General features: G+C 41.3%; 1 annotated feature.

Annotated features, from left to right (window-relative positions):
- Positions 9,827-9,916: an enhancer, noted in NCBI's record as "active region_24815". NCBI's record gives its function as "activates an Ori minimal core promoter by ATAC-STARR-seq in GM12878 lymphoblastoid cells {active_cell/tissue: GM12878}" and the evidence as "EXISTENCE:reporter gene assay evidence [ECO:0000049][PMID:35858748]".

Below are 11,576 nucleotides of genomic sequence, written 5' to 3'. Positions count from 1 at the left end.
TACAAAATAATGGTAAAATTCTTTTTGAAATAATTAGTGGGCAAGAATGCATATATAGATCAATATAGACACATTTATGTAACACTTTAGATTCTACAAAGTACTTTCACAATGCTCTTATTTAATTCTCACAATGACTCTTATAATAAGGTATGTTTAATTGTTATTCCCATTTTAGGGTGACCACAAGTCCCGGTATATCCAAGGCAGTCTTGTTTTATGCTATTGCCTTAATGTTTCCCTTTTATTTAATATTTCTCCCAAATGTTTTCATTTTTAAGGACAGTATTATTGTTAATAGTTGCATTAAAATAATCTGGGCTGGATTTGGTACCATCTCCATGAAGTACTTCTTGGTCTCTGTCATGGTCTTGTCTAGTAGTGGGTAAGGTGCATGCGTAGTGAACAGAATTCTCACTTTAACACGTGTTCAGTCTGAGAGATGACCAGCGATAACCTTTTTCTCCCCACCTCCCCTTACCTGGTGAAAAGTAACTCACACATCTCTTGCATGCAGCATGCAGGAAGAGGACATACTCTCCAGTGAAACAACTTGTACCCAGACTCTATAGATAGCTACTTTTTTCTAGTTCAAATGACAGTGGGAGAAGTATTCGATGTTGCTACCAGCTCCTACTGGAGACTTGGTGTAGCAGCTAGCTGCTTATATGAACCATTTTCATGAAGCCACCAGGCTGCTTGTTGGTGGGGTCAGTGGAGAAATTGAGAAATTATAGGTTATATATAACAATAGAAATATGTACAAGATATGGGAGCAGAACAGTTCTTCAATAGAGCTCATAGAATATCCTGAATTTTTTAAACAATGGTTTGTCATTTAATATGTAAAATAAATATGATCAGTATTTTTACATTTTTATTGTGGCAAAATATACATAAAATTTGCCATTTTAATTATTTCTAAGTGTACAGTTTGTGGCATTAAGTATAACCACATTATTCTGCAACCATCTCCACCATTGATCTCTGGAACTTTTTATCTTCCCAAAATGAAGCTCTGTGCCCATTAAACACTAACTCTCCAAGCTCCTGATAACCATCATTCTACATTCTTCCCCTATGAATTTAACTATAGATCCAGGTACCTCATAGAAATAGAATCACACAATATTTGTCCTTTTGCATTTATGCAGCCAAAAGACACATGAAAAAATGCTCATCATCACTGGCCATCAGAGAAATGCAAATCAAAACCACAGTGAGATACCATCTCACACCAGTTAGAATGGTGATCATTAAAAAGTCAGGAAACAACAGGTGCTGGAGAGGATGTGGAGAAATAGGAACACTTTTACACTGTTGGTGGGACTGTAAACTAGTTCAACCATTGTGGAAGTCAGTGTGGCGATTCCTCAGGGATCTAGAACTAGAAATACCATTTGACCCAGAGATCCCATTGCTGGGTGTATACCCAAACGATTATAAAACATGCTGCTATAAAGACACATGCACCTGTATGTTTATTGCAGCACTATTCACAATAGCAAAGACTTGGAACCAACCCAAAAGTCCAACAATGATAGACTGGATTAAGAAAATGTGGCACATATACACCATGGAATACTATGCAGCCATAAAAAATGATGAGTTCATGTCTTTTGTAGGGACATGGATGAAGCTGGAAACCATCATTCTCAGCAAACTATCGCAAGGACAAAAAACCAAACACCGCATGTTCTCACTCATAGGTGGGAATTGAACAATGAGAACACATGGACACAGGAAGGGGAACATCACACTCTGGGGACTGTTGTGGGGTGGGGGGAGTGGGGAGGGATAGCATTAGGAGATATACCTAATGTTAAATGACGAGTTAATGGGTGCAGCACACCAACATGGCACATGTATACATATGTAACAAACCTGCACGTTGTGCACATGTACCCTAAAACTTAAAGTATAATAATAAAAAAAAACTTGTCCTTTTGTGACTGGCTTATTTCACTTAGCATAGGTTCATCCACGTTTTAGCATGTGTAATAATTTCTTTCCTTTTAAAAGACTGAATAATATTTCATTGTAGGTATACATCAGTTTATTTTGTTGCTTGGGATTGTTTGTTAATTTTGTAATAAACTCTTGTTGGCAATTAGGCCAAAAACAAAAGTTCATGTTTCATGAAATATTGAGTACTAAATTTTTTTTCTCAAGAAAGGGTGAGGAATGAATAACTTGCATAAATATTTGTTGAAATGTATCATCCACCAAAGGAGACTGTTGTAGTATAATTGACCACAAAAAAAAGAGAAGACATAAATCTAATGAAGAAGCATCAGCATTTACTCAAAAATTAGTAATTATTTTAAGAAAATAGTTTCTGAAAACAATGATTTAACACATGTGGGGGCAAAAAGTGCATTGCATGTCACTGTGGATCATGACTTTTCATTTAGATCAAATTACTCTTCTAAATTAACTTTATTTATTTTTGATTACTTTTTTATACATGTCTGATTTTTTTTTGTTTTTTTTTGGGATGGAGTTTCACTCTTGCTGCTCAGGCTGGAGTGCAATGGTGTGAGCTATCTTGGCTCACTGGAACCTCCGCACCCCAGGTTCAAGCAATTCTCCTGCCTCAGTCTCCCAAGTAGCTGGGATTACAAGCGTCTACCACCATGCCCAGCAAATTTTTGTATTTTTAGTAGAGACAGGGTTTCACCATGTTGGCCAGGCTGGTCATGAACTCCTGACCTCAGGTGATCTGCCTGACTTGGCCTCCCAAAGTGCTGGGATTACAGGTGGGAGCCACCACATCCAGCCTGAAAAAGTTTTTTTAAAAGCTGAGTGGCGAATTTATTTTGCCTAGAAGTGAATGATAAATAGAATAAATAGAAAGATGGCCCTATTGCTATATCTCAGCCAATATGCTCTTTTAAAATTGTAATGTTGATGCTCCCCCTTCATGGATAGGACTTTATGCTTCCTCCCAGTGATTCTTTCTCTCACTATTCATTCTTAGACAGTCATAATATGACAAGGTCCAGGGTCAGGACCAGGTCACATGGAGAGGCCGTGAGTTAGGTGTTCTAGCCGACAGTCCTGAAAGTCTCAGCTAGCAGCCAGCATCATGTGGGTGAAGGAGTCTCTCACAGTTGATTGCAGTCCTAGCCTTCACCTTAGCTGAAACTGAGTGGTGCACAGACCAGCCATGCTGCTAAGCCCTTCCTAAATTAAAGATTTGCAAGCAAAGCAAATGTCATTGTCATTGTTTTAAGCCTGTATGTTTTGGAGTAATTTGTTACTGAGCCAAGGGAACTAGAACAGTGTTAACTCATTGACTGCATTGTGGAAAAAGAACTTCACAAACTTAAATGATGCTCCTTTGGTATCAGAGTCATCAGATGCTTCAAATGGGAATATGAGGAATTCTAGTACAATATTTAGGTGACTTCTAAACACACTCCAGCTCTGATCTTTGTTCCCATGCAGGCAAATGGAATCTTATCTTGGTTCTGAGTAATAACTAATAACTGAATCTACCTTGTTCATCCAGTACCTGCATCTATGCTTTGACAGATTATTTAGGAGTGAGGCTGTGCTTAAATGATCAGCTCCTGCATTTATAATAATATAAGCAGTTACCATTTATTAAATAACTCCTATGTCCCATGTCCCACGTAGTGCACCACATATTTTATATATAATTCTAGTCCTTACAATTCTAGTCCTTATATATAATTCTAGCCCTGCAACAATAGTCATTATTAGCCCTATTTTATAAGTAAGAAAATAAGGCTCAGAGAGGTCAATAACTTGCTTAAGATCACATAAGCAGGAGGAAGCCATGCTTTCCTCATACCAAGGGCAAGGGCCTTTCCACTGTGTCACACTAGAATTCTGCTTTGATCCCAGGTACTTAGCTGGGTGTCTTAATGTTTTGTGTTGCTATAATAGAGTACCTGAGACTAGGTAGTTTATAAAGAAAAGGGGTTTATTTAGATTATGGTTCTGCAGGCTGGTGAGTTCAAGAAACATGGCACCAGCAACTGCTTAGCTTCTGGTGAGGGCATTCATGCTGCATCAAAACATGGCGTAAGGTCAAAGGGGAAGTGGGCACATGCAAAGAGGCAAACCAGAGGGGCACCACAGCTTTATAACAATCCACTCTTTGGGTGCTGACTCATTCCCAAAAGAACAAATCCAGTCTCACCAGAGCAAGAACTAACTACCACAAAAATTGGTGTGCACTACCAGGCCATTCAGGAGGGATCTGCCCCTATAACCCAAACACTTCCCATTAGGCTCCACTTATCAGTACCACCACATTAGGGATCAGATTTCAACATGAGCTTTGGTGGTGACAAACTCAAACCATATCAGTTGCTAACCTGATCATAGGCATCTTTCATGCTGATTATCTTTCTGCTCATGTTTCTGAATGTTGCCTGCCCCAGGGACCACTGATGATGGGCCTACCTATCTGTCATTCATCTTTTCACCTTTTTCTGGACCCTCCTAATGCCACCTGATTGTCTGGGTTCTGCAGGTCCTCAGTGCTTCAGCTCTGTCTCATTCCCATTTTAGTTAAACTGGATGGTTCATAGACTTGACGTAGCATCAGGGCAAGAAGTCATGACTTTAGAGGAGAATAAACCTGGACTCAGTCACTCACCTTATGAAGTCATACAAACAGAGCAAAAGTTAAATAAGCAACAACAACAGTGATACCAGAAACCTTTCCAAAATCTGAAAGTAAATAACACTATATTTATCCTATATGTGGACCAAATAAGTTTTTCTCTACTAATGAGAAGAAACTATGGAAACAAGATGCATGTATCTGAAAATGCAAAGATTAGAACAGGAAGAGCACAAGAATACAAAATGAAAAGCATTAGAATTGAGTTTTCATTGGAAAAAAATGGAGACCAGAAGGCAATGATATATTCAAAGTGCTGAAAGAAAAAAAAAACTGTCAACTAGAAGTTCTATATCAAGCAAAACTACCTCTCAAAAATCAAGATGACATAACATGTGTGCCCAGGTTGCACTCCATGACACAGTAGTTCTTACTGTTAGATGTCTGGTCACATACAAAGGTGGCCTCTCCTTACAACTCTCTCACAGGATGTTCTAGGTTGTCCATTTTCTACCTGTTTCATCCATCAACCACTCTCATTTGTATTTTGTTTTCAAGATATCAAATACATTCCCAGATAAACAAAAAATAAAAGAATATGTTTTTAGAATATGTGCCCTACAAAAAATACTGAAGAAAGTCAGAAAGTTAGTTAGGCTGAAATGAAATTCCACCAGATGGTAATTCAAGTCCATAGGAAAAAATGAAGAACACCAACAATGTTAAATATGTGGGTAAATATAAAAGACTGGAAGTATATTTTTTTCCTCTTTTCATCTCTTAATTTAAAAAAATGTTATTTCTTAAAACAATAACTGTGATATCATATTGTTGGGTTTGTAACATATCTGCTACATTATACCATATATATATATATATGGTAATATAATACATAAGTGGTAAGTTACTCCATGCCCTCTAGGAGTTCGCCTTAGCTTCAGGCTTTACACCTTCTCTCTGAGAAGAATTTCATAGCTGAAGGGACCCTATAGCTTTCTTTCTGCTCCCTGGGTTTTGAGGTGAAACAGAGTAAAGAGAAGCTGACAGAGCAGGGCGCTGGAGAGTCTTAGGTGGAAGGCCTAGTTGAGCTGGAAATAATTAATTAGTCAGGAAAATTTTACTGCCAAAAGATTAAAAATAACATGATGATAATTCTCCTTATTAGCAAATTTGGTTTTCTACATGGATCCAGAAATAGATTAAAACTGAAATCAAATGAGGATCTCTGAGTTTCCTCAAGAAAAGTACTGAGAAACTTGTTTCAATGCTTAAGAGCCATTGTTTCTCTTTTCCCCAAAGATTTTAAGTATAGCTCCTGCATTTTCTCTAAGAAATGGTTCTTAATGTTCTGAGTCAGACCTTACAAAAAGTATCCATGATACCCAGAGACTTATGGTTCATGCTGTGACCATTACCACAGGACTAGCTTCCTATTACCCATGCATTATCTTTGACATCCTCACTATAGATGTTTCAGGATGAGATTTATAAAAATCTAGATTTTGATGATGAAAATTGAATAAATATCAGATGTCACATTTCTTGAATCATAACAGATCATTGAAAATCACAGAAGATTTGAAATGAACAATAATTGAATGTTACTAGGTGCAAGGCATTTTGATAATCGATGGTGGATGCAAAGATAAAGATGCTGCCTGCCCTTGGTGGTATATTACACTGCTCCTGCTGCTATAACAAAATACCTTAGGCCAGAAAATTTATAAATAACAGAATTAATTTTTACAGTTCTAGAGGTTGGTGTTGGCAGATTTGGCATCTGGTAAGGGCTTGCTCTCTGCTTCCAACATGGTGCCTGTTGTTACATCCTTACCTGGTAGAGGGAAGGAATGCTATGTGCATACATAGAAAAAGGAGTCAAAGGGCCGGACAGCTCTCTGAAGACTCTTTCATAAGGGCATTAATCCCATTCTCTGCTGACATGCCCCACCTGCTAATAAATGAACACTCCATCTCTTTCTTATGGTTTTTGTCCTTTTCTTATTTTTCTCACCTCCTCTCCTTGTAACTGTTGGCAGTCAAAACGCACCAGGGTAATTGGAAAAAGCTGATTTAGTCATATGGACAGGAGAGACTTGGCCCCTCACAGGGGAAAGTGATCTTGGCTGTCCTCAGTACCACCTGTCTGCATGGCCTGGGTTTTTGCCTTGTTCTGCTCCTCCAGTCAGGAAAGAACTGTATGCCTGAGACCAGAGCCAGGCCTGGGATGGTGAGCCGCTTGTGGAGAGAATTTTCACAAGGATGTTTCTGAGGGTGCCCAGAGTGTTTTTATAATGAAGAACCAAGGGATAGTCTCTTGTCTGGTTTTAGTATCAGAAGAACTCTGCTTCTCTTGAGCAATTGATTTGTTTCTGTGTCACAGGGAAGGTGGATTTTGTGACTCATCAGGTAGAGTGTGTGTGTGTGTGTGTGTGTGTGTGTGTGTGTGTGTGTGTGATACTGACCTTTAGAAAGATTACAGGCAGATGCATGTTTCTCTCATAGCCAGTTGATATGGCTTGGCTCTGTGTCTCCACCCAAATTTCATCTCGAATTGTAATCCCCTCGAGTTGAGGGAGGGAGGTGATTGGATCATGGAGGCAGTTTGGTGATAGTGAGTGGGTTCTCAGGAGATCTGATGGTTTTATAAGGGGCTTTTCCCTCTTCACTCCCTCCCTCTCCTGCCACCTTGTGAAGAAGGCGCCTGCTTCCCCTTCTGCCACGATTGTAATTTTCTTGAGGCCTCCCCAGCCATGCTGAACTGTGTGAGTCAATTAAACCTCTTTCCTTTACAAATTACCCAGTCTCAGGGAAGTTCTTTATAGCAGTGTGTAAACGGACTAATACACCAGTGCACAGGATTTGAAGATATGCGTGTTTGTATTATTTCTGGCTTCTTCTGACCCAGTTTTTATTACTTGCCTTATCCTTTCTCACTTAGCTCTTATTTATGTTACCTTGTACTTTCTGTGTCCTTGTAAAGGTGCCTTTTGTTCTTCTTGGAACCAGACAGGGTATAAATACATGAATAAATATAGAAAGCACCTGGCTTTCCGAGCTTCTGGCTCCACATCACACTTCACTGCTTCTTGGCCTTTTGGCTCAATCCAAGCACAGGGTAATAGCAGGCTCTGTTTCTGTGCGGGGATGGTGCCCCATGACTGCCACTTAGGACTGCTCTTAATTTTTGGCTTTTTGCTCTGACTCTTTGGTCTGGTTTCCTAACATTCTCTTGTCTGACCACAATTTCTGGTGTCCAACATCTCTGTTGCCCACCAGTTCCTCACACTAAGGCTGGATTTTGCTTTCTGAGATCCATAGTCTCTGCCCCCCTCTGGCTTTAACCAATATCTGTAGAAATCATTTGTAGCCTGCCTTACATGGTATTTTAGAACCCTGGGGAGGCAGTATGGTGGTGTGGTTTTGGTGTCATTTGGGTTCGGGTTGGTCCAATCATCCCTCCATTCATCCAGCCATGTACCCATCCAATCTTCCATCTACCCACCACTCCGTGTGTATGTGTGGGGTGGGGCTGAGGTGGTGTTGGTCATGTGCCAGGTACTGAACCAAATACTAGGAATATGATAGTGAACCAGAGATATGAATTGAACCCAGGCTCTGATTCTTGCTACCTGTGAAAAAGTAGGCAATTATTGAATTTTTCTGAGTCTCCAATTCTTAATCTGTAAACTATGAATAGTAATATCTACTGCCTGAAGTCATTTCAAGGATTAAATGCTATTAAATAAGAAAAGCACGCAGTCCAGAGTGTGGGCCCAGGCAGCACTCCACGACACAGTAGTTCTTACTGTCAGACGTCTAGTCACACACAAAGGTGGCCCCTCCTCACAAATCTCTCACAAGATAGTCTAGATTGTCCATTTTATACCTATTTCATCTATTAAACCACTGTCATTTGTATTTTGTTTTCCAGAAATTTGCTGCAGTTTCTCATTCGCCGAGGCTCTGCATTTCTGTTCTCTCCCATTATGGATTTATTTCTCTTTGTATTTGAAAAACAGAAGACACTATTGGCAATAAATGGTAGTACTATGTCTTGCAAAACAGCTGAACTGCACCAAACCCGTGACAGGTAAGGTCATGTAAGCTCAAACTCATGTGTTTATAGTTACTGTATTAATAGTAAACCCCTGCGGACTCACCTAAGACCACTGATGGTTCCAGCAACTGCCTAATTTCTAAATTCTGACCAATCCCTGCTTAGATCATACCTTCCAACTTCCACCCTAAGGCACCGAGCTCTCCTCTGTAAGTAGCCTCTGTGATGTGGTTCCCTCCTTTGCTCTGCGAGTCTAATACAAAACCTTGCTGGTGGTCTCTGGGTTTGTTGGGGAGGCTTTGGCATGTTTATATTTTGGTGGAGAGAGGCTCTCTCAAGAGGGATGGCAGACAAATATGTGTGTCTAGTCTACGACTGTAAACCAGAAGTCTCCATCAAATTTTTCTTTTTCTTTCTTTCTTTCTTTCTTTTTCTTTTATTTTTAGATATGGGGTCTCACTGTTACCCAGGCTACAGTACAGTGGTGTGATGATCTTGGCTCACTGCAGCCTCAACCTCCTGGGCTCAAGTGATCCTCCTGCCTCAGCCTCCTCAGTGGCTGGGACTAGAGGGGTGTATCACCACACCCACCTGACTAATTTTTTTATTTGTATTTATTTATTTATTTATTTATTTATTTTGTGGAGACAGGGTCTTGCTAAGTTGCCCAGGCTGGTCTCAAACTCCTGGACTTAAGTGATCCTCCCGCCTTGGCCTCCCAAAGTGCTGGGATTACAGGTGTGAGCCACTGTGCCTGGCCTCCACCAACATTTTTTAGCTGACAAGGTAGCACAACAAACAAACAAGTGAAAAAGCCAGATACATGTGGAGTGACGGTGCCTCATTTGCCTTTGTGCTCTTAGGCAACGTGAGTTGAATGAATTCTCTGATGAGAGAGGTTCAGGGGTCCAGGGCTTTTGAGAAGAAGCAGGGGGAATGCCTCCCAAACTTGACCCCTTTCTCCACACCCACATCCCCTTGCCACTGTCCACACCGTGCCTTGTGCTATATGCCAGCAAAGGGAACAATCATTAGCAGTGGCTGGCGGTTTAGTGAGAACCACCTGGACTCAGGAGTTTTTCAGGAAGTGACTGTGGTTTCAGATTTAATGAGAAGCATGAAGGCAGATGAACCTGGAGGTGGGCTCCCTCCTTCACACAGGTTCTGCTCGTTAGGGTCACAGATAACTTCTGCTAGCTTCAGAGATTATACTGGTTGTCTGATCTCTCATCAGGCCTGTGTGGTGTTGTTTCAGTGACTGCAAACATGATCTGAATGTTCAATGCTAAAAGGAGCAGTTGGGGTGGTTCACTCATGCAAATCATCTCTGAACAATTAAAAGGATGGATTCCATCCACGCATGCATTTTCCTTCATGGCAAAGATGATTTTAGGAAGAGGACTTCTGCTACTTCTATGATGGTTGTACTGACAAGTATTGACTCACTGACAAATGAGAAAAAGTAGCTTCTTCTGATAATTATTGCTAGAGGAGTCCACGGCTGTGAATCTACGGTCAAGCTCTCAGGCAGGAAGTGAGAGTGGTGTGTTTTAAGTTGTAATTGTGGCCTTAAGCAAGGCATGTATTCAGGGGACCGAGTCTGGGATGGGCTTACCAATTGTTAAAATATTCAGTGCTTCTGTGCTGGTTAGGAAGCAGCCATTGCCCTGAGTCCTGAATGTTCCCTGCCCCTCCTGCCATCTCTCAGACCTCATACCACTCTGCAACAAAGGCTAACCTGGCACATTGGGAGCCAAGACCCTGCCCCAGCACTCAATGCCTTGCCAGGCCCTGTCCTACTTGTTATTGACTATGTGGAATATCACTCCTGGTCTTAAGTATTTTTGATTCACCAGGAGAAGGGAATGAGGATTATAAACTTAAATTGTGGAGTCCTGGCTATTGGTCAGACTCAGAGGGACACCCTGTATGCCCTGCATTGATGGCTAATCCCTGAGGAATGGAACTTTGAAAAGTAAGGATGACCACAAAGGAAAGAAAATCAATGAGGACTTAGAGCTGCTGACTCAGAGCTTCACAAGGGAGGCTGCAGTGATGGGTTGGGGGCGGGGGTGTCAGAGAGGGGTCTCAGCTGGGATGGTGGACAGAGCCACCTGCGGTGACCCGGACAGGAGAGAGATAGAAAGACAAAAATAGCAAGGATGTCTTCATGGAGTGGTATAATGTGGGCAAAAGGCTGAATGAAGCTCACCAGTCCAGTGAATTATGAGAGTGGCCACACATCATTGCTCCTGTCCCACTCGCTACCCCCACCCAATTCCAGCCACAGTGGCCTCCTTGCCATTCCCCAAACACAGCAAACCCCTTTCACCTGAGGATCTTCCCTGCTCCCTCTGCCCAGACCCTGCCCGCTAGATACCTGCCTGGCTCCCTCCCTCCCCTTCTCCAGGTCTTTCTCAAATGCTACTTCTGCTGTGGCCCCCTCCACAAACTGCCCGACACATGCATATGCACCCATTCCCCTTCCTTGCTTCATTTCTCTTCCTAACACTTGTCACCACCAAAATATGCTATATAGTTTGCATTTATTTTATTTATTGCTCTATTCCCCTTACTATAACATAATGGAAGCCCCATGACAGCAGAAACATTTTGGTCTGTTTTGTTCACCACTGCCTCCAGAATAGCTAGAAAAGCATATTAGTGGTACTCAGTGAATGTATGCTGACTGAATGAATGAAGAAACCAATTACTTCATGGCTATCATGAATCAGACATTGTGTTATGCTCCATACATTTCCCGTGGAGCTCCCTATCAGCCCTCAAAGAGCTGCCTCAGATGTGTATCAGGGGCTGCCTCCTCCTTCTACATTTGTAATTTGCATTAACTTAAATCTCCACATGTGCCTAGGATTACTCTACCGGACAGGGCAGTTCTAGCATAAGAGACATAAG

Source organism: Homo sapiens, chromosome 6, assembly GCF_000001405.40.
Source record: "Homo sapiens chromosome 6, GRCh38.p14 Primary Assembly".
Lineage (NCBI taxonomy): Eukaryota > Metazoa > Chordata > Mammalia > Primates > Hominidae > Homo > Homo sapiens.
The sequence above is the reverse complement of the archived record's forward strand: the minus strand, read 5'-3'. Positions and strand labels throughout refer to the sequence as shown.